The 23,889-nt window shown below is 41.0% G+C and overlaps 1 long non-coding RNA gene across 1 annotated transcript in view, besides 4 other annotated features; it reads left to right on the forward strand.

Annotated features, from left to right (window-relative positions):
• The window catches only part of LOC107984703 (uncharacterized), a 41,297-nt gene that overhangs the window by 1,805 nt on the left and 15,603 nt on the right, over nt 1-23,889 (forward strand). The window contains exon 2 of the long non-coding RNA NR_148060.1: nt 184-281. This is a non-coding gene — a long non-coding RNA (uncharacterized LOC107984703). The remainder of the gene's footprint in view (nt 1-183; nt 282-23,889) is intronic.
• Nucleotides 8,941-9,040: an enhancer, noted in NCBI's record as "active region_8977". NCBI's record gives its function as "activates an Ori minimal core promoter by ATAC-STARR-seq in GM12878 lymphoblastoid cells {active_cell/tissue: GM12878}" and the evidence as "EXISTENCE:reporter gene assay evidence [ECO:0000049][PMID:35858748]".
• Nucleotides 9,061-9,130: an enhancer, noted in NCBI's record as "active region_8978". NCBI's record gives its function as "activates an Ori minimal core promoter by ATAC-STARR-seq in GM12878 lymphoblastoid cells {active_cell/tissue: GM12878}" and the evidence as "EXISTENCE:reporter gene assay evidence [ECO:0000049][PMID:35858748]".
• Nucleotides 12,393-12,542: an enhancer, noted in NCBI's record as "active region_8979". NCBI's record gives its function as "activates an Ori minimal core promoter by ATAC-STARR-seq in GM12878 lymphoblastoid cells {active_cell/tissue: GM12878}" and the evidence as "EXISTENCE:reporter gene assay evidence [ECO:0000049][PMID:35858748]".
• Nucleotides 12,603-12,682: an enhancer, noted in NCBI's record as "active region_8980". NCBI's record gives its function as "activates an Ori minimal core promoter by ATAC-STARR-seq in GM12878 lymphoblastoid cells {active_cell/tissue: GM12878}" and the evidence as "EXISTENCE:reporter gene assay evidence [ECO:0000049][PMID:35858748]".

A 23,889-nucleotide genomic window follows, 5' to 3' on the forward strand; every position in this document is an offset into this window, starting at 1 on the left:
TTCCAATCCTTCGTGGTCAGGGATCCATAGCCCTAAGTTTATTGGAATCATAAGGGTCTGAGATCTTGCTAATGTGTAAAACACAGAATCTGTGATATATATGTAGCTATTAAGGCATCCATGCCTGGAGTGTTTTGTTTGTTTGTTTGTTTTTTGAGACAGAGTTTCCCTCTTGTTGCCCAGGCTGGAATGCAATGGTGTGATCTTGGCTCACTGCGACCTCCACCTCCTGGGTTCAAGCGATTCTCCTGCTTCTGCCTCCCGAGTAGCTGGGATTACAGGTATGCGCCACCACGCCTGTCTAATTTTGTATTTTTAGTAGAAATGGGGTTTCTTCATGTTGGTCAGGCTGGTCTTGAACTCCTGACCTCAGGTGATCCTCCCACCTCGGCCTTCCAAAGTGCTGGGATTACAGGCATGAGCCACCGTGCCCAGCCTGTTTTTTTTTTTGTTTTTTTTTTTTTTTTTTTAGTTCCTAGGTCTGGGCCATAGTTGAAATAATTAAGGCTGCTGATCAAGTGAGTTCAGGGTACAAAAGATGTTGTAGCCTTTACTCATAAGGGATGAAATGGTATCTCTAAATTAATGGAGAATCTGAGACAAGGATATTTCAAGTAGAAATTAGGGACTGATCCTACTCTGCCCACTACATAGCTATCATCTCTCTCTTTAAAATTAACAGTTCTAAGGAACTTAAAGCTTCTCCAACTTTAAGGTGTATATGGAGATTTTATTTAAATACAGATTCTAATATGGTAGGGTTGAGGCGATTCTCAAGATTCTGAATTTGTAACATATTCATATCCTCGGAGTTGATACAGGTACTAATGGTCTATAAATCACCTCTGGGTGGCAAGGACCTATACTAACCCCCATGCTACCCTTGATACCCACACAAAACACAAATGAAAAACACAACTCACAACCCCTACTCAAAATGCAGCGAATAGTTGATTCTGCCAAGCTAGCGAGTGACCAAGATGTGATAGAATTGCACTGGACACTTTGAGCTACAACTGTGGTTGCCATTTGCCAGAGGCAAGTTAAAATTGACCTACATTTGTACTGGAAACATTTCTCAATCCTGGGATTACTCCACACCTTGGGTGTTACTGTCCTACTGATGCTATGATGCCTACAGCTTTGTTTTTGTTTTTCTGTTTTGTTCAAAAATGTTTTAGCTATTCAGACCTTTTGTGGTTCCATATGAATTTTAGGATTATTTTTTCTGTTAATGTGAAAGTGTTGTTGGAATTTTGGTAGGGATTGCGTTGAATATGTAGGTTGCTTTGAGTGGGATGAACATTTTAATAATTTTAATTCCTTCAATCTATGAACATGAGATATTGTTCCATTCGTTTGTGTCTTCTTCAGTTTCTGTCATGGGTATTTTGTAGTTTTGCGTGTTCAGATCTTTCACCTCATTGCTTACATTTATTCCTAAGTATTTTATTATTTTTTGTAGCTATTGTGAATGGGATTTTTAAAATTTCTTTTTCACATAGCTCATTATTAGTGTATAGAAATGTTACTGATTTTTGTATGTTGGTTTTTGTATCCTGCAGTTTTACTGAATTCATTTATCAGTTCGAACAGCTTTTGGATGGAATCTTTAGGAGTTTTCTATACATACAAGATCATGTCCTCTACAAACCGAGACAATTTAACTTCTTCCTTTTCATTTGGATGCCTTTTCTTTCTTTTACCTGTTGCTCTGATTAGGATTTCCAGTTCTGTGCTGATTAGAAGCAGTGAGAGTGAGCATCCTTCTCTTGTTCCTGATCTTAGAGAAAAAGCCTTAAACTTTTTACTATTCAGTATGACATTAGCTGTGGACTTGTCATATATGCTTCATTGTACTGAGGTACATTCCTTCTAGACCTAATTTGTCGAGAGTTTTTACCTTGAAAGGATATTCAGTTTTGTCAAATGCCTTTTCTGCATCTATTGAGATGATCATATGGTTTTTGTCCTTCATTCTGTTAATGTGATGTGTTACTTTTACTGGTTTGTGCACGTTGAACTATCCTTGTATCCCTGGGATAAATATCATTTGATAATGATGAATGATCCTTTTGATGTGCTGTTGAATTCAGTTTGCGAGTATTTTGTTGAGGATTTTTACATCTATATTCATCAGGGATATTGGCCTGTAATATATTTTTTTCTTGCAGTGTCCTTGTCTGACTTTAGTATCAGGGTAATGCTGGCCTTATACAATAAATTTGGAAGTATTCCTTCTTCTGCAATTTTTTGGAGCACTTGGGAAGGGTTGGTATTAGTTCTTTAAATGTTTGGTAGAATTCAGCAGTGAAGCATCAGGTTGTGGGGCTTTTCTTTGATGGGAGACTTTTTATTACTGATTCAATCTTCTCACTTGTTATTGCTCTGTTCAGATTTTTTGTTTCTTCATGATTCAGTCTTACTAGGTTATATATGTCTAGGAGTTCGTCCATTTCTTCTAGTTTATCCAATTTGTTGGCACAACATTATTCATAGCAGGCTCTTATGAACCTTTATATTTCTGTGGTATCAGTTGTAATGTTTCATCTTTCATTTCTGATTTTGTTTATTTAGGTCTTCTCTTTTTAGTCTAACTAAAGCTCTATTGATTTTGCTCTTTTCAAAACATCAACTCCTAGTTTCCTTGATCTTTTCTACTGTTTTTCTAGTATATTTCATTTATCTCTGCTCTGATCTTTATTATTTCCATTCTTGTGCTAATTTAAACCTTAATTTCTTCTTCTTTTTCCAGTTTGTGGAGGTATGATGTTAGGTTGTTTATTTAAGATCCTTCTTTTTTGATGTAGGCATTTATTGCTATAAACTTCCATCTTAGAACTGCTTTTGCTACATCTCATATGTTTTGGTATGTTGTGTTTCCACTTTCATTTGTTTCAAAATATTTTTAAATTTTCCTTGTAATTTCTTCTTCAACCACTGGTTGTTTAGGAGCATGTTGTTTAATTTCCACATACTTGTGAATTTTCAAAATTCCTCCTATTGATTTCTAGTTTCATGCCATTGTGATTGGAAAAGATACCTGATGTGATTTCAATTTTTTTAAATTTGTTAACACTTGTTTTGTGGCCTAACATATAATCTATCTTATAGAAGGTTCTCTGTGCTCTTGAGAATATATTCTGCTTATGTTGTATAGAATGTTCTGTATATGTCTGTTAGGTCCATTTTGTCTAAAGTGTAGCTCAAGTTCAATATTTCTGTATTGATTTTCTCTCTGGATGATCTCTCCATTGTTGAAAGTGGAGGTATTAAGTTCCCTTACTATTATTGTATTGCAGTCTATCTCTCTCTTCAGGTCTATTAATATTTGCATTATATATTTAGATGCTCTGAGGTTGAGGGTATATACATTTGTAATTATTTTATCTTCTTGATGAATTGACTCATTTATCATTATATAATGACCTTTGTCTCTTTTTATAGTTTTTAACTTAGTCTCTTTTTTTATGTAGTCAATGTTCTCCTGAATTAAGGTCTATTTTATCTGATGTAAATATAGCTATCTCTGCTCTCTTTTGGTTTCCATTTGTATGAAATATCTTTTTCCATCCCTCCACTTTCAATTTATGTGTGTTCTTAAAGGCAAAGTGAGTCTCTTGTAGGTAGCATGTAGTTGAGTCTGCTTTTTTTCTTTTTTTAAATCAATTCAGCCACTCTTTTTCTTAGAGAATTTAATCCATTTACATTCAAGGTAATTATTAATAGGTAAGGACTTACTACTGTAATTTTGCTCGTTGTTTACTGGTTATTTTGTAGATCCTTTCTTCCTTTCTTGCTCACTTGCTGTTTACCTTTGTGGTTAGATGGTTTTCTCTAGTGGCATGCTTTGATTCTTTACTTTTTATCTTTTGTGTATCTACTATAGATTTTTGCTTAGTGGTTATCATAGGCTTACATAAAACATCAAATAGTTACAATGGGCTATTTTAAGCTGATAACAACTTAACCTTGATCACAAAAACCTCTACGCTTTTACTCCAGTGCCCCTCCAACTACATTTTATATGTTTGTGTAATAATTTACATATTTTTATATTGTGTATCCCTTAACAAATCATTGTAGTTGTTATTCTTTTTAATAGTTTGGTCTTTTAACCGCCCCCCCTTTTTTTTGAGATGGAGTTTCACTCTTGTCACCCAGGCTGGAGTGCAATGGCATGATCTCGGCTCACTGCAACCTTCACCTCCTGGGTTCAAGCGATTCCTGCCTCAGCCTCCTGAGTAGCTGGGAATACAAGCATGTGCCACCACACGCGGCTAATTTTTGTATTTTTAGTAGAGATGGGGTTTCACCAGGTTGGCCAGGCTGGTCTCAAACTCCTGACCTTAGGTGATCCGCCCACCTTGGCCTCCCAAAGTGCCGATTACAGGCGTGAGCCTCCATGCCTAGCCTTAACCTTCATACTAAAGATATAAGTGATTTACACACTACCATTTCAGTATTAGGGTATTGTGAATTTGACTCTGTACTTACTTTTACCAGTGAATTTTATACTTTTATATGTTTTCCTGTTACTTGTTAGCATCCTTTTCTTTCAGGTTAAAGAATTCCCTTTAGCATTTCTTGTAAGGTATGTCCAGTGGTGACAAACTCCCTCAGCTTTTCTTTTCTGGGAAGTCTTTATCATTTCCTAAAGGACAGCTTTGTCAGGTAAAGCATTATTGGTTTGCAGGGTTTTTTTTTCCCTGAAGCATGTTGACTATATCATCCCACTCTCTCCTGGCCTGTAAGGTTTCTTCTGAGAAATCCACTGCCAGCCTTGTTAGAGCCCTCTTTTATGTGATATGCTTCTTTTTTCTTGCTGCTTTCAGGATCCTCTCTTAGTCTTTGATTTTTGACAGTTTGATTGTAATATGGCTTGGTGCAGTCTTATTTGGATTGAATTTGATTGGAGACTTTTGACCTCCCTATACCTCAATATTTATATCTTTCCCCAGATTTGGGAAGTTTCTAACTTTTATTTATTTGTTTATTTATTTTCTTTGGTGCCCCTTATGCACCAGGAAGCTTTTATTTTTTTAGATAAGCTTTCTGGTTTTTTTTTTGTTCTTCTCTTCTGCTTCTTGGTCATCCATAATTTAAATATTTGTTCTCCTGATGCTGCCCCATAAATTCTTTAAGCTTTCTTCATTGTTAAAGTTTTTTCTTTTTTCTCCTCTGACTGTATACTTTCATATAACCTGTCTTTGAATTCACAGTTTCTTCTTTTGCTTTATTAATTCTGCTGTTGATGCTCTCTGTTGCACTTCACATTACATTCACCAAATTCTTCAGCTCCAGAATTTTCATTTTTGCATATGATTTCAATCTCTGTTTATTTTTGTATATGATTTTGATCTATTTTGTTCATTTATGTTTCTCTGATTTAATTGAATTGTTTTTTTGTATTTTTATTGAAATTCTCTGAGCTTCCTTATAGCAATTATTTTGAATTCTTTGTCAGGCAGTTTATATATCTCCATTTCTTTTGGGTCAGCTACTGGGAGATTATTGGTTTTTTGTTTGTTTTGTGGTGTGGCATACTTTGGATATTTGTCTCCTCTAAATCTTATGTTAAAATGTAATCTCCAATACTCAAGGTGGGACCTGGAGGTATTTGGATCACAGGGAGAGATCACTCATGAATGGCTTGGCAGCCTTCCCACAGTAATGAGTAAGTTCTTGCTCTATTAGTTCATGTGATATCTGGTTGGTAAAGAGTCCGGGACCTCCCCCCAATCTCTTGCTTCCTCTCACCATGTGACATGGCCCTTTACCTTCTACCATGAGTAATAGCTTCCTGAGGCCTCACCAGAAGCAGATACTGGTGTCATGCTTCTTGTACAGTCTACAGAACCATAAACCAAAATAAACTTCTTTTCTTTATAAATTACCTAGCCTCAGGCATTCCTTTATAACAATGCAAAATGGACTAATACAGAAAAATTAGTACTGAGTAGTGAGGTATTGCTATAAAGATACCTGAAAATGTGAAAGTGTCTTTGGAACTGGGTAACAGGCAGAGATTGAAGGAGTTTGGAGGGCTCAGAAGAAGACAGGAAAATAAGGGAAACTTTGGAACTTATTAGAGACTGGTTAAGTGGTTGTGACCAAAATGCAGATAGAAATATGGACAGTAAAGGCTAGGCTGACAAGGTCTCAGATGGAAATGAAAAACTTACTGGGGGCTGGAGCAAAATTCACCCTTGTTACTCCCTAGCAAAGAACTTAACTGCATTTTATCCGTGTCCTAGGACTTTATGGACAACTAAACTTAAGAGTGATGACCTAGGATATCTGGCGGAAAAAGTTTCTAAGCAGCAAAGCATTCCAGAAGTGGCATGGCTACTTCTAACAACCTACAGTAAGATATGGGAGCAAAAATCCTCAGCCTGTTCATGTGGTAGAGAAGGAAAGAGCATCTTCAGGAGAGGAATCCAAAGGAGAAGGATCCATGCAGGCTGGGGAGCAAACTCTTCTAGAGAGATTAGCATGACTAAAAGGGAGCCAAGTGCTAATATTCAGTAAAATGGGGAAAAGGCATTACAGGAATCTTCCAGGTCACCCCTCCCATCACAAGCCAGAGGCCTAAAAGGACAGACGGGTTTTAGGGGTCAGGCCCAGGGCACAATTGCCCTGTGCTGTCTTACCTTGCAATGCTACTCCCCACATACTTGCAGCACAGGCTCCAGCCTTGGCTCAAACAGCCCCAGGTACAGCTTGGGTCACCACTCCAAAGAGTGCAAGCCATAAGCCTTGGGGCTTCCACATGGTATTGGATCTGCAGGTGTGCATAATGCAAGAGTTATGGAGACTTGGCAGCTTCCACCTAGATTTCAGATGTATGGGGAATCCTGAGTGCCCAGGTAGAAACCTGTCACAAGGGCAGAGCCCCTACAGAGAGCCTCTACTAAGGCAATGATGAGGAGAAATGTGGGATTGGAGCCCCCATACAGAGTCTCCTCTAGGGGACTACCTAGTAGAACTGTGCAAACTGAGCTAACACCCTCCAGACCCCATAATGGTAGAGCCACCAGCAATATGCACTCAGCCTGGAAAAGCTGCAGACATTCTACTCCAACCCATGAAAGCAGAGCCACATGGCCTGCACCCAACAAAGCCATGGGGATGGAGCTGCCCGGGGCTTGGAGGGCCTACCCCTTGCACCAGTGTGCTCAGGATGTGGAACATGGAGTCAAGGGAGATTATTTTGGAGCTTTAAGGTTTAATGTCTGCCCTGTTGGGTTTTGGACTTGCATGGTACCTGTTGTTCCTTTCTTTTGGCAGATTTCTCCCTTTTGAAAAGGGACTGTTTACCCAGTGCTTGTATTATCATTGTATCTTGGAAGTGAATAATTTATTTTTGATCACACAGCCTCATAACTCTAAGGAATTTGCCTTGAATCTCAGATGAGACTTTCGAGTTGATGTTTGGAACAAGTTAAGACTTTGGGAGACTACTGGAAACGGATCATTGTATTCTGCGATATGAGAAAGACATGATGAGATTTGGGGGACCAATGAGGAATAATATATTTTGGATATTTGTCCCCTCCAAATCTTATTTTGCAATGTAATTCACAATGTTGGAGGTGAGGCCTGAAGAGAGGTTTTAGATCATGGGGGCAGGTCCCTCATGAATGACTTGGTGCCCACCCTATGGTAATGAGCGGGTTCTTGCTCTATTAGTTAATATGAGACCTGGTTGTTTAAAAGAGTATGAGACCTCCCTCTTTCTCTTACTCCCCCTATTGCCAAGTAATATATCTGCTCCCCCTTTGCTTTCTGCCATGTGGAATAGCTTCCTGAGGCCTCACCAGAAACAGGTGCTGGTGCCATGCTTCTTGTACAGTCTGAAGAACCATAAGCCAAAATAAGCCTCTTTTTGTTATATAAGCTACCCAGCCTCATGTATTCCTTTATAGCAATGCAAATGGACTAATACATGGCGATATGTATTCTTGGCTTTTCATGTTTCTTGTTGCCTTATGTTGAATTCTGCACATTTGTTAAGATCAATCCCTTCCAGACTTTATGGGCTAGTTTCAATGTGGAAAGACCTTCTTCTACTTGGAGGTGTGAAGGCACTTCCTGGATGCTGTGTAGCAGTTCTGACACCAGTGAGGGTGCCACTGTTGTCAGACAGTGTCTCTGTGCAGCTCTGTCAGCTCAGGTGTTGATGTTGCTGAAGATTGCAAGTGGCCAACAGTGTGGATGTCTGCAGTGGTGGTGAAGATTGTTGGGTTTCACTGGTAATAGCTGCTAAGATCTTCTCAACTTCTTTTTCTCCAACTGGGTAAGTTGTGGACAGGAGTTCCCTTTTGGTACTGGGTCCAGCTTGTGGGCCGATTTGCATTGGCAGTGGCATTAGTATTGATGAATGGTACCCTGGAGTAGCCATAGAGCTGAGATCTGAAGCTTGGGCATGTGTGGAGGGACTATGGCTCTGGGGTCTGCTGGTGCCTGGGAGAAGGCACCCCTACTGCTGCATTGGTAACAATATATGAGATGTGAGTGCTTGTGAAGTGTCAGCCAAGAATGGGAGCACAGACATAGTCAGAGTTACAGTGGCTCCGGGGTTAGGGCAGGGCCTAGTTCTCTGTGGCAGCTGAGCAGATGCCTGAAGTATAGGCATGTACATGTGCAGAGAGACCTTGATTCTGGGCTCTGGGGTGTAAGCTTGTTCTATGGCTATGTCTCTGGTGTCTGACACACGGGTGGGTGTAGTGCAGCCACAGAGCCTGGTGTCTGGAGTGTGTTCACTCGTGGGGCAGCTGTGGCTCGTGTGTCAGGGTCATACCCAAGGGAGGGTGGTGGCTGTAGTCTTGAAGCCACACAACAGCTGTTTCTTGGGCGGGGAAAACCCTACCCAAGGGTTTTTTTCTCTCTCAGATTCACCAGTGAAAATGGCTGTTGTTCAACCTCAAGGCAGAAGATGGTGTTACACCCTGAGAAACAGGCTGTTGGGGACAGGATGGCTTCTACCATATGGCTGATGCCAGTAGCCTCTGCCTTTCTTCTTTGTTTCTAACCATTTTCTGGCATCTCTGTTCTGCCAGTCTCACAAGCAATCTTTTCTGTGCAGGTATTCTCTGTTTTTTTTTTTTTTTTGAGATAGAGTCTCGCTTTATCCCCCAGGCTGGAGTGCGGTGGTGTGATCTCGGCTCACTGCAAACTCCGCCTCCTGAGTTCAGTGATTCTCCTGCCTCAGCTTCCTGAGTAGCTGGGACTATAGGCACACACCACCATGCCCAGCTAATTTTTGTATTTTTAGTAGAGATGGGGTTTCACCATGTTGACCAGGATGATCTTGATCTCTTGACCTCATGATCCGCCCGCCTTGGCCTCCCAAAGTGCTGGGGAATGGGCTTTTGAGCCCTCCCAAGGCTATTTTGGTTTGTGGATACCTGTCAATATTTGTTTTGCTGTTTGGGAGTGAAGGCTGTTTTCTTTTACTCCACTATCTTAGGTGACATCACTCTACATTTACTTCTTATATCTATTTTTCCTTCCTAGATTCACTTCTTGATGGAGTAATTCCTCTAAGAGCCCTTATATATAAGGCCTTCGTGTGATTAACTTTCTAAAGATGTGCCATCCAATATGTGACCATTGTCCATATGTGGCTATTGAACATGTGAAATGTGCCCTGGATTTCAAAAATGACATACATGCATGCACACACACACACACACACACACACACACAAACACACACAATGTAGGTTACTCATATCCCCATATATGCCAGCATTCTGCATTTTGCTTATACATTTTGCTTTTAATCTTTGTCAACAAAAAACTCATGAATTTCTTAGTATTCTGTGTGTTGTACAAACAGATGGGCTCTGAGCAGAGCCTGAGAGGCTCCCATAAGAGCAGAGACATGAGCTGTAATATGTAGACATTAAATCGCCTAAAAGCTGCACGGAGAGCTTTTCAGTGACTGTCGAGTCCTGGAAACTCTCCTGGACAATCAGCGCTGCTGTTCAAGTACACTCTGGGCAGAGATGATGTCACAGTACCTCTCCATAAAGGAGGACATTATTCTTACATTTAATAAATAAATTGGAATTAGGAAAACTGTAGGGGAATTTGGGTAGAGGTGGGAAGCAGGCATTCAGCAGTCAGGTGCACCTGGGCAGGAGGCTTGCTGTGGCCTGGGTCCACAGGCCTGAGGATGGGAGGAAGCTGAGATCAGGCCAGGGTGTCTCCAGGTGGGTGAGGCCACAGCGTGGTGCACTGAACAGGTGAATAAATATAGCCCTGCATAAATTACTCAGCAACGAAGTGGAGCTGGGGAAGATTAACCAGGATTACACTGTATTTATAAACATGGGTTTTAAGCTCATTGTTATTAAGAAATATAACTGAGAGGGTATCATGGAAGATTCACTAACTTTGGCAAAGTGGAACAAAAATAGTAACAGTATTTATTTTTTTTGTATCACTAATAAATGAGAGTATTACATATAAGTCAGAGATTGCAGCTTGAAGTTCAAAGCTAGGCATCAGAGTCCTGTAATTGTATGCAAAATTTTCTTTATATGTAAATACATGACTTCTTTTTCTAGGGAGAGGGTCTAAGACTCTAAAAGTTAAGAACTACTGATCGTGTGGTTTATATTCATGATAACTGAAGTTTTTCTCCATTTATGACAACTTAAAAATATCATTGGCAGTAGGGGGTGGGGCAGAGAATTCTCCCTCTAGAGGACAACATCACATCTATCCTTGAGTTCATAAAGGTAGTAGACTAAATATAAATAAATCTTCTTTTCTGGGCTCTATCATGTCAAGTTATCGCACCATGTAATGATTTGGAAATGTTCACAAGGAGCCTGAATGCATCCCCTGATCAGGCTGCTCACCCCTTAAGAGTTAAAGTCCGTGCTCCCCCGACTCCTGTATTTCTTAGCTCCATTTGCCTTGCAAGGTGCTCATCTACTTTCTCTTCTCTTCCTGTTAGCATCACTTTCTGATAGTGTCTGTGCATCTTCATTCTCCTAATCTGTTGTCTAATTTTACATGATCTTATCTGAGTGAGAGGCTAGGGATGGCAAAGCCTGGACAACACCCATTTTTCCTAAAGCTTAGTGACCTCACTAAAATCTTTTTCATTTCCTAGTTTCTGTTTGAGCCAAAAAGCTGACCACTGGATTAGTCTGGGCATTGCTATATTGTGTTAAAATTGAGCAGAACAGTTGTGGCAATAACCTCTGGAGATTAGAATATATTGCTTGAAAATCAAGCCAAAGAGTTGCTGTTTTTTTTCCTCATTTTAATTTCCAACCCTCTATTGCCTGCTTTATCTCTTCTCAGGCTTCTGAGTGCCGCTGGAGAAGGTCATAGCATCTTTCTGATCTTATACATTCATCATGTCTAATCCCAGCTCAGCCCACTCAGCAGTCTTGATGATTTATTTCATTACTCACATTGAAGATTTCAGACTTATGCTTTTCTAACTCCCTGTTGGAATGTAAGCTCTATAAGGGCAAAGCTTTTGTTTTGTTTCATTGAATCCTACACAGCCAGGAGAGAGCCTGTCACACAGGAGATGCTTAAGAAATACTTGAATGAATGAATTGCTGTCCAGAAAGAAACCTTATATTGGGAAATGGCAGAAGCTCATTGGGCCACCCAGAGTGGGGCGGAGGGTAGCACAAGGAGCCACTAAACTCTACCTTAAATTCTTCCCTAATAACATTGGTGAATTGGATTTCCTGAGATTAAGAACTTCTTTTCATTAAAGAAAGTAAAATTCCACAGAGGAGGAGAAAATATTTGCAACGTACAGAACTGACAAAGTGCTCAGATCCAGAATATGTAAAAAAAAACTCTAACAAAGTAGCAGAAGACTCACTTCCCAGATTCCCCACCTCCTCATATTGTTATATTGGTGATTAGGTTTTAACAATATGAATTTTGAGAAGACAAGCAGTCAGACCATAACACCTATTAAAAGATGCCGCATTCCCCTTGCTGAGATAGTAGAATGGTAATCAATAAATACTGAGGGAACTCAGAGACTCGCACCGGCAGGAGAACAGGGTGATAGTGGGGAGAAGGCCAGCAAGAAAACGTGAGCAAAGGAATCTGTGTCACAAATAAGTTCAAGGGAAGGTACTATGCCTGGATGTGCACATAGGCCAGATTTATGCTTCTTTCCACCCAAACATCTCAGTGTAGCAAAGAGTAACAGAGCATCATTGCCGCCAGCATACCCCACCTCCAGCCACAGGGTGGTTTTCTCCTCTCAGAATAGAAAGAATGTACGATCAGGTTTTACACTGAGTCATTCCATTCCCAGGGGCATGCAGGATATGGAGGCCTTCCTCTTACCTCAACTGCAAGAGGCCTTCCTCTTTTACTAATCCTCCTCAGCACAGACCCTTTACAGGTGTCGGGCTGGGGGATGGTCAGGTCTTTCCCTTCCCACGAGGCCATATCTCAGGCTGTCTCAGTTGGGAGAAACCTTGGACAGTACCCGGCTTTCCTGGGCAGAGGTCCCTGCAGCTTTCCGCTGTGCATTGTGCCCCTGGTTAGTCGAGACTGGAGAATGGCGATGACTTTTACCAAGCATACTACTTGTAAACATATTGTTAACAAGGCACATCCTGCACAGCCCTAGATCCCTTAAACCTTGATTCCATATAACACATGTTTCTGTGAGCACAGGGCTGGGGCTAAAGTTACAGATTAACAGCATCTCAAGGCAAGACAATTGTTCAGGGTACAGATAAAAATGGAATTTCTTATGTCTTCCTTTTCTACATAGACACAATAACAGTGTGATCTCTCTTTACCCTACAGTCTGTAAGAGAAAGTGCTTCTCACCAAAATCAGCCAGGAGCCCCTTTCAGGTTTTATCTAAAGAAAACCTGTCTTTAACCGCCAGCCACATTTCCTGTTTCTTTCTTCTTTCTTTAACTCTTACACTTTCTTCTTTCGCTTATTAAACTTTTGCTCCAACCTCACCCTTGGTGTTCTCGCTCCTTGCTTTTCTTGGTTGTGAAACAAAGAACTTGGAGTCATGCCTTGGGCAATGAGATTGCTTCACCTGGATGGATGTGATGACTCGGTATTGTAAAGATGTCAGTTTTCCCCCAAAGTGGTCGACAAATTCAGTGTGATTTCAATCACAATAAAAACTTGACATATTCTAAATTTTTATGGAAGAATAGAGTTCTTCTAGCAGCAAAGTTAGAGCAAAGAGGGTGTTCCTTATGCATTTAAAAATATTCTAATAGCTATAATGATAAAATGAGGCATGATTTTTCCAACAACAGACAAATAAATCAAACGAATAGAGGAGTGAACCCAGTATTTATGAAGATTACATGTAAGATCAAGGTATCATCTAATGAGGAAAGCATGAGCCTTTTAATAAATAGTATTTTGGAAACTGCCTTACTATATGGAGAAAGCTAGGTTCCTATCCTTCACAGTGTTTTAAAAACAAAACAAAACCCCAAAACAAAAACTCTAAATGGATTAAAGAGGCACACATGAGAGGCAAAACAATATATATGTTTGTGACTCAGGAGTGCAGAAGAATCTCCTTAACAAACCCTCAAATTAGAAAGCATACAGGACACTGGGCACGGTGGCTCATGCCTGTAATCCCAGCACTTTGGGAGGCTGATGCGGGCAGATCACCTGAGGTCAGGAGTTTGAGACCAGCTTGCTCAACATGGCGAAATCCCGTCTCTACTAAAAATACAAAAAAAAAAAAAAAAAAAAAAAAATTGCCGGGCATGGTGGCGGGTGCCTGTAATCCCAGCTACTTGAGAGGCTGAGGCAGGAGAATCACTTGAACCCGGGAGGCGGAGGTTGCAGTGAGCCGAGATGGTGCCACTGCACTCCTGCCTGGGGGACAAGTGTGAAACTCCATCTCAAAAAAAAAAAAAAAAAAAGAAAGATACAAGAAAAAAAAAGAAAGCATACAGGAAAAAAAAAATGGGAAGAAAACGATCAGCAAAAATGACAGGCAGGTACCAGGACAGGGAAATGTATTTGCAGTATCTAAAACCTATGAGGAATTAACATCTAGAGCATTCCAAGAGCTTTTTTATATCAGCAATATAAAGACAAAAAGTCTAAAGGAAATCGCAAAGTCTATACAGAAAATTCAGATGGAGAAACCCCATTGCTTGAAAAGAGGTGTTTAATCATAACACTAGTCAAAGAAATGCAAATTAAAGCAACATAATACCAAATCACACCCATCACATTGAAAAACAATAGGAAGTCATCTAATACTGAATTCTGGGGAGTCTGCAAAGAAGAAAAACCTGCAGGCATAGGTGGTAGGAGGGTAACGGATACAGCCTTTCTGGAGATCCATCTGGCAGGATTCTGAGATTAAGTATGTGTACCTCCTTTGACCCAGCAATCCCACTCAAAGATGTAATCCCCCAGAGTAATAGTTGCTATAAGGGTGTTCAATTTAGTATAATTTAGCCCCAATATCTAGATTATTGCCTGAAGGATAAAAGCACTCAACAGATGTTTGTGAATCAGGAAATGAATGAATGTCACAAAGAGAGCAGAAAGTAAGCAATCTGCACCTGTAGGCATGGATAAGTAAAATGTGGTATATCCCTATGAGGGAAGAGGATACTACAGTAGTTACAAGGAGCAAACTGTATTTATGTGGAGCCACCTGGATAGACTGCAAAAGCACCTGTCAAAGGAAGCAAGTGAAAAACGGAATCAGATTTGTTGAAAAAATCCCATTCATGTAATTTTTAAAACCACACCCCTCAAATTATTTTTTAAAAAGTTATACATCCAAACAAATATTAGAAGGGAAATTGGGAGGACGCATAAGCACTAGATTGGATGCTCCATAACATCGACAGAATAATGGAGAGAAATAATGAGATACCAAAGGGGCATCTTGCCTGAAACTGTTACCAGAAAGGGGTCCCAATCTGGACCCCAAGAGAGGGTTCTTGGATCTCACGCAAGAAAGAATTCAGGGTGAGTCCATACTGTAAGGTGAAAACAACTTTATTAAGAAAGTAAAAGAATAAAAGATGGCTATTCCATAGGCAGAGCAGCAGCTTGGGCTGCTGGACTAAGGATATATATTTCTTGATTATATGCTAAACAAGGGGTGGGCAATTCTTGGAAATGAGTGTTCCTCCCCCTTTTAGACCATATAGGGTGACTTCCTGATGTTGCCATGCCATTTGCAAACTGTCATGGCACTGGTGGGAGTGTCTTTTAGCATGCTAATACATTATAATTAGTACATAATGAACAAATAAGACAATCAAAGGTCACTTTCATCACCATCTTGGTTTTGGTGGGTTGGGGCTGGCTTCTTTATCACAACCTGTTTTATCAGCCAGGTCTTTATGACCTATATCTTATGCCAACCTCCTATCTCATCCTGTGACTAAGAATGCATAACCTCCTGAGAATGCAGCCCAGTAGGTCTCAGCCTTATTTTACCCAGCCCCTATTCAAGATGGAGTCTCTCTTGTTCAAATGCCTCTGACAAAAATGTGCTAATGTTCCAGGAAGTGACCATGAGGAACTCAGTTCTGTGCACCTGAGCTCCTAAAAACCACCCACCTCCCAAAATTTCAGACCAGCTCTTGGTACAGAAAGTGGTCAGAGGAGGATTCTATTCCTTGTTTCTTGCCTCCCAACTCCCTTTCCTCCCTGCCTTGAATAACCTCTTTCTCCCTCTGTGCATCCATTTACCTGACCAGTCCCCACTCCCAACAAAGTGCCCAGTGCTCTGTGTCTGTAACACAAGGTGAAAGCCTTTGGGAGCAGAAAAGATAGTTTTCAGACAAAATTCAGTCTGCAACATGAGAGAGCAGCAAAATTAAAGCCCCAAGCGCTTTGTCCAGAGTTATTCTCTTTAAAGGAGGAACTTGGCAACTTGGCATGCACATGTTGCTCTCATGGAAGACAGAGAATGACAAAGTAAGCGATGAGTTTGAAAGGTTTTTACCCTTGTACAAAAAACAACTAAGCACCTTCTGTTTCCCTAGTTCAGTGCTGAGGAAAGAGAAATTTACTCAGGTACATTATCAGTCACCCTGTCTGCTGTAGCATAAGGAATATAGACCTTGGAATCAGACATTCCAGCATTGGCCTTGGGCTCTGTCATGCACAAAAAGCCATGTGACCTTCAGCAAATTGAGTCATTGATGATACTCAGTTACTGTATCTTTAAACTGGGGCTATTTATACCTATCTCAAGGACTGGTGAGGGAGTTAGGGTATGTCAAACTGGGAGCCCAGTGCCAAGATCTCCTTTAGGAATTACAGCCTGTTGGGGAAATAAGACACATGCTTTGAAACTTAAGCAACCATCTTGCTGGATATAAAACCAATATACAAAAAATTCAATAGTATTTCTATGTGCAAGAAACAGAAAGTAAAATTTTAAAAGTACTATTAAAATAGCGTATTATTCATATATAAATATAACAAAATATGCATGATTGTATATTGAAATTTGCGAAACATTATAGAAAGGAAACTTAAATAAATGGAATGATTCAATATATCATGCATCAGATCACTCAGTATTATAAAGCCATCACTCAAAGCAATCCCAATCAACATCCCAGCAAGTTTAATCTTTTTTTGTTGTTCTTGTCAGAAATTGACAAGTTGGTTGTAAAATTCATATGGAACTGCAAGAACCAAGAACAGCCAAGGCCATTTTGAAGTAGAACAAACCCCGAGGATTACCAGATGAAAAGCTACAATAATTAAGACAGTATGGGCTGGGCGCGGTGGCTCACGCCTGTAATCCTGTTACAAATAAAGTTTTGGTGCCGCAAAAGAAATAGCACTTGAATATAAAATTTTCTTTTTAATTCTCAGCAAGGCAAGGTACTTCTATAGAAGGGTGCACCCTCACAGATGGAGCAATGGTGAGCGCACACTTGGACAAGGGAGGTGAAGGGGTTCTTATCCCTGATACACGTGGCCCCTGCTGCTGTGTCGTTTCCCCATTGGCTAGGGTTAGACTGCACAGGCTAAACTAATTCCGATTGGCTAATTTAAAGAGAGTGACGGGGGTGAGTGGTTTGGCAGGAAAAATGGTTATGACAGAGCAGGTAATCGGAATGAGTCAGGGTGGAGCAGGTAATCGGAATGAGTCAGGGTGGAGCAGGTAATTGAAAAAGGTTGCTTTATGACGAAGTTCAGTTAAAAGTAGAAGGCAAAGAATTGAACATATGACATATTGATTCTTTGAAAAGAAATTTAGGACTCATATCAAACAATCCCAACACTTTGGGAGGCCAAGGCGGGTGGATCACCTGAGGTTAGCAGTTCGAGACCAGTCTGACCATCATTTTGAAACCCTGTCTGTACTAAAAATACAAAAATTAGCTGGGCGTGGTGGCACATGCCTGTAATCCCAGCTACTTGGGAGAATGAGGCAGGAGAATTACTTGAACCCGTGAGACAGAGGTTACAGTGAGCTGAGATCACACCACTGCACTCCAGCCTGGGGGACAGAGTGAGACTCTTGTCTAAAAAAAAAAAAAAAAAAAAAAAATAGCTTGGTAGGCTCAAGGATAGAAAAACTCCACAATGGAACAGGATAGAGAGCCCAAAACAGACCTAGAAAAGAGACACCACGAGCAGTGGGGGAAAGGATAGCCTTCCCAGCCATATATGCATGGACCAAAATGAATCTCAATTCTTACCTCACACAATGTACAATGGATTGCAGATTTAAACAAGAAAGATTTTTACCTTTTAAAGGAAAACATGATCAAATGTATTCATAATCCTGAAGTAGGCAGATTTCTTAAGGAGGACATAAAATCACTAACCATAAAAGAAAATCTTATAAATCTGGACTAAATTTGGATAAAATGAAAGATGCTCATCATGACACACCATTAATAGAATGAAAAGGCAACCTACTTCTTCTATAAAGTAGTAGAAGATATTTGCACTACATGTGTCAGAAAAAAGACTTGTATTCAGAATATATAAAGAACTCTTACAAATCAACATGAAAAAGACAAGCAACCCAATATATAGGTGGGCAAAACACTCAGACAAGAGCTTCACCAAAAGGGTTATCCAGATATCCAATAAACATAAATAAGCTCTACCTCACTGGACATCAGGAAAATGCAGTTTAAAACCAATATTAGACATCAATATTACATACTTACCAGAACTGCTAAAATGGAAAAGAGAAAATACTAAGTGTTGCTAAGATTGTGAACAACCGGATTTTCATATTTTGTTAAGTATACATTTATTCAACCACTTTGGAAAACTGACAGTTTCTACTAAAGCTGTGGTTTTGCTTTCCACATTTTCAGTTATCCATGGTCAACTGCAGCGCAAAAATATTAAATGGAAAATTCCAGAAATAAATAACTACTAAATTTTAAACTGCATGCTATTCTAAGTATTGTGAAGACATTTCTCACTGTCCTGCTCTGTCTTGCCTGGGACGCGAATCATCCCTTTTCCCAGCATATCCATGCTGTTTACACTCCTTTCCAGTTGCCACTTAGTGGCCATCTTGGTTTTCAGTCTGACTGTCGAGGTATCGCAGTGCTCATGTTCAAGTTACCCTTATTTTATTTCATAATGGCCCCAAAGTGCAAGAGTACTGATGCTGGCAATTTGGATATGCCAAAAGGAAGCTTTAAAGTGCTTTCTTTAATAGAAAAGGTGAAAGTTCTTGACTTAAAGAACAAGAAAAAAAGTATGTTGAGGTTGCTAAGATCTACAGTAAGAACAAATCTTCTATCCATGAAATTGTGAAAGAAGAAAAAGAAATTCATGCTACTTTTGTTGTTGCACCTCAAACTGCAAAAGTTACAGCCACAGTGCATGATAAGTGCTTAATGAAGGCAGAAAAGGCATGACATTTGTGGGTGGAATACACGAACAGAATCATGTTCAGATTGACAGCAATTGGGTTCAGTATTATTCCAGGTTTCAGGGACCCACTCTTCTTACCTAACAGGAATGTGTGCACATGTCCACCAGAAGACATGTATTGGGAGGTGCATTGTAGTGCTATTCAAAACAGCCTCAATCTGATAAGTACTTGAAAGCCCTTCTCAGCAATGAGAATGAACAAACTACAGCTATGCACAAAAAGATGGATGAAATTCACAAACATAAGGTTGAGGGGAAGAAATCAACCATGAATGAACTTCACAGACATTCTGTGGGCAAAAGCAGACAGACTCAAACAAGTACACATTGTATTACTCTATTCATGATTCCATTTACAGAACACATAAAAACAAGCCAAGCTAATCTGTAGTGCTGGAAGTTAGAAGAGGGATTACCCTCAATGGGGAAAGGTGGTAGCTGGAAGGGGGTATACGTTGAAGGATAATGGAGGTGTTAGTTATGATCTCCTTTCTTGAGCTGGGTGCTGGTCACACAGGTGCATTTGTGAACATTCACCATGCTGCATACTCAAAATACTTGCACTTTGCTGTGTGTCTATTATACTTCAGTTAAAGGGTTTTTATTATCAACATTAAAATTAATGTCTTTGGTGAAGCTTCTGAGTACTTTGCCCACTTATGTATTGGGTTGTTTGTCTTTTCATGTTGATTTGTAGAAGTTCTTTATATATTCTGAATAATAGTCTTTGACACATGTACTGCAAATATCTTATACTACTTCGTGGGTTGCCTTTTCATCCTTTTAATGGTGTGTCATGATGAGCAGTTAAATAATAAAGAGAAGTTGTCTGAAATGCTGACCATCAAGAACCAAAGGGGCCAGGTGTGTTGGCTCATGCCTGTGATCCTAGCACTTTAGGAGGCTGAGGAGGGAGGATTGCTTGAGGCCAGAAGTTTGAGAACAGTCTGAGTGAGACCCCATCTCTACAAAATTAAAAAAAAAAAAAAAGGCTGGACACGATGGCTCATGCCTGTAATCCCAGTGCTTTGGGAGGCCGAGGTGGGTGGATCACTTGAGGTCAGGAGTTCAAGACCAGCCTAACCAACATGGTGAAACCCCATCTCTACTAAAAATATAAAATTAGTCGGGTGTGGTGTTCATGCCTGTAATCCCAGCTACCTGGAAGGCTGAGGCAGGAGAATCATTTGAACCTGGGTGGCGGAGGTTGCAGTGAGCAGAGATTGTGTGCCATTGCACTCCAGCCTGGGCGACAAGTGAGACTCTGTCTAAAAAAAAAAAGGAACTTAGCCAGGCATAGTGGTGTATGCCTGTAGTCCTAGCTACTGGAAAGGCTGAGGCAGGAAGATCACTTAAGCCCAGGATTTCGAGGCTACAGTGAACTATGATTTCACCACTGCACTCCAGCCTTGGCTTCCTGAGTGAATGAGACTCTGACTCAAAAAAAAAAAAAAAAAAAAAAGAAAGAAGAAAGCCACACACACACACACACACACACACACACACACACACACACCAAAAAAAAAAAACAAAACAAAACAGGATGAACACAGGCTTAGATGCTATGAAAGTTTGGAGTAGAAGTGGTTGGTGTGGCCTGGAGAGGTCCCAGGGGTCTTCTTGGATAGGAGCATTTAAACAGCCTTGAGGGCTTTTGATGAAGGGAAGAAGCCCTTTGGCTCTATGTAAAAAAATAACCTTTGAAAAATAGGTTGATGATTATAACTGGTTCTTTCGATGCAGGGAAATTTCTGACCAGCCTCGTGTAATTTTGAAGAAAATGATTAAAAAGAAATTTCAGTGTGATGTGGTAGGTACAGAGAGAAGCATACTTTCCTCTGTGAGCCTAATAAAGTTACTCACTTCTCTGAGCTGCAGTTTCTGCATCTGTAAAATGAAAAATAATGCCTCTTCAGAGGGTTATGAGTGTTAAATATGATGGTTGGCATGAAACTGTTAGTGTGGAAAAAAAGAACCCTAGACAGCCTTTATTAGTCCCTAAATAAACAGTGTATTGTATATCGGGTTTAACCATAGCAAGCCTTTTCTAGATCTCCCACCTCCAAGAACCTGTGGGTGACATTGATAAATATATAAACAGCTAACTTCAGGCTTCCGCTCTCCAGATTGGAACAGTTGTTCATCAGCACAAAGGCTGAGGGTGTTGGTGCTGGGATGATTCACAGAGAGAAGTGGAGTGGGTCTATGGTCATTATGCAGTTTATTACTTAATTCCCTTTGGCTGCTCCATGCCCTGCCTAGAGATGAAGCAGCACTTTTATTTGAGGACAAGAAGCTGGCTCACAGTGGGTTTGTGTGTCCCCCATGCCAAATGTGCTTGCTTTGTCAGACTCTGCAAGGTTGCTCCCTCCTGCTGAAATCCTGGAGGTGCAATGTCATGAGTTACAGGAATCCCAGGATACAGGAGATGGAGAATGAACTCAAAACCTTTACTGCCAAATTTGCTGCTCCTTGGGATTGTACCACCTCTTTCCTGGTCTCCTGGTAGCAGCCTCATATTAGACTTAATTATGCTAAATTATTTAGGCTAAATTATCTCCCTGTACCTAGACTCTTCTTATCATGCCCTCTACCAAGTAAGATCTTCTACAACAGGAATCTGAACAGGGCACTGCCCTGGGGATAAAGTGCCAGCTCCAGGGCAGACTATACAAGTTTCTCTGAGATCTGGCCTTGTAGAGTGCTGGAGGCAGAGAGACCATCAGGATGGTTGTTGTGTCCTGAGAGAGGGACGATGGTGGTTCAAACAAAGGCAGTGGCAGCCGGGAGGTAAGAAATGAGCTGCTGAAAAAACTATTAAGGAAGTAGAATCAATAGGAAGTAAAGAATAATCTACAGGAAGTAAAGTCAAATCAACAGGAAGTAAGGTTGAATCAATAGGAAGTAAAGAAGAGTCTGCAGGAAATAAAGTCAAATCAACAGGAAGTAAGGTTGACTCAACGGGAAGTTGAGTAAAATCAATGGGAAGAAAATCAGCTGATTGTTGTGTGTGTGTGAGTGTGTGGTTGAGGGCTAGGCAGGGGGATGAAGAAGGGAAAGGAGGAGTAGATTTTCTTCCCAGATGCTTTCCTGGAAACAGTGTGGTTGGGGATGCTATTTACTGTAATGGGAGCATAGTGAGAGAAGCAGGTTTTCTTAACCTGCCCCCACCATCCCCTACCCCTGGCCCCCCAGCACCCCAGCCACAGAACCTGAGAGAAAAGTTCACAGTGGGGTTGTTTAGTTGAGAATGTAATGCCAGAAATCAGGAATGAGGGCCTTGGGAGGTGAAATGGGAAGGAGAGACCCAAGGCAAGGAGACATTATTCAACTGGCCACCACCATGAGTGACTGGTTGCTCAATCCCATGGAACTTCTGAGTCACTTTATGAAACGCATCTCAGGACTGTCCTCAGATGATGAAAGTGGAAGGAAGGCATTAGCTCCTATCCCTGTTGGCCCAAAGCTGCCCATAGAGTTAACATCCTACACTTTTGATTGCATGGATCTGAGGGCCCAGGAGTGTGACACCCTGAGAGAAGCCCAGGGGTAGGGCACAAGAGACATACAGCCCTAACCTGAGAAAAGGCACTGCCAAATGGCACCTGCGCAAAGCCAGTTGAAGCTCGGTGGAACAGGCCATCACAGCAGTGGCTGGAAAGAGATGGCGTAGAGGGCAAGAGCGGTGGACTCCATCTCAGAGAGCTGTGTGAGAGTGATCCAACATCCAGTTCAGAGATGAATGTACTAAAATATAAAATGATACCTGAACTTGAGAAGCCCACAATCTTGGAAGGAGGACATTTAAACACAAGTTACACAGCAAGGTGGGGAGAGTGCCGTTGCTGCTAATTGCTGTGAATATAAATATCTATTTACTTTTACGGGGCACTGCTTTAAGTATATGCTTTACTGTAAATTCTCTCATTTAATTCTCACAGCCATCCTATCAGGAGTTAATATTATCCCCAGTTCACAGATGAGGACATGGTGATACATTGTCCAGAGTCATAAGCTAGTAGGTGGTACAGCCAAGATGCAAACTGTTTAAACCCTTTGGAATGATCAAAGGAAGTAGATACTGGATCTGATGAGTTGGAGGGGGCAGATCAGCCATGAGTTGGTTATAATGACACTCCTTTGTATATAGTTAGTGCCATTTTTGCAAAGGCATTTACAAATATGGTTTAATTGATACTAATAATACAAGGCAGGAGTCATCGTTGTCATCTTTATTTGATGGAAGAGGAAACAAAAGCACAGAAAGGTGAAGCATCTTTACCCAGATCATTCAGAGGATCAGCAGTGGGGCCACTGCCGGCCACTGGGCAGCTGATGGCTAGTAAATCTCCCTTCTGCACTCTGCTTTGGAAGAAGGATGACCAGAAAGGCCTGGGCCCATTGGCATTCCAGCACTGTCCTCAAGTGAGTCAGGTACCACTATACAGACTCAATTTTACCTTCGGTAATTTCCTCCTTCTGTAAAGATTTATTTTAGGCTATAGGGGGGCAAAAGGATTCCTCACAGTTAAAAGCATTTGCCGCTCATACCAATGTCCACTATGATCTTCACCCTGATTCTGGACATGGAGGGAAAGGTTTGTTTCCTTTAGACCACATCTCCTGGGCCGGCCATGGGAGATGGTGACAGAAGCTTGTGACAGAAGCTACATTCTAGAGAGCTGAGGATATTTGAAGATATGTGAGTCAAAAGTGGGAGTAGAGAGCCTGGCCCAGGGCAGGTGGGCCAGGCCTGAAGTGAGACCATGAAATAGACAAGCCCACAGAATCACCCCAAGAACCAGGGGGACAAGGGTGTGGCGGGAGGACACTGTCCCTACCTCTGAGGATGGAGTTTGAGGTCTGTCTTTTCAGCCTGCTCACAGCAGAGGCCCTGAGGACTCATTTCCTGGCTCTGAGCCCCACTTTTCCTGTTTGGCTTATTGGTTAAAGGTGTGGACTGTGGAGTCAGCTTCATGTGGGACTGACTCCT

This window comes from Homo sapiens, chromosome 14 (assembly GCF_000001405.40).
Source record: "Homo sapiens chromosome 14, GRCh38.p14 Primary Assembly".
In the NCBI taxonomy this organism is placed as follows: domain Eukaryota; kingdom Metazoa; phylum Chordata; class Mammalia; order Primates; family Hominidae; genus Homo; species Homo sapiens.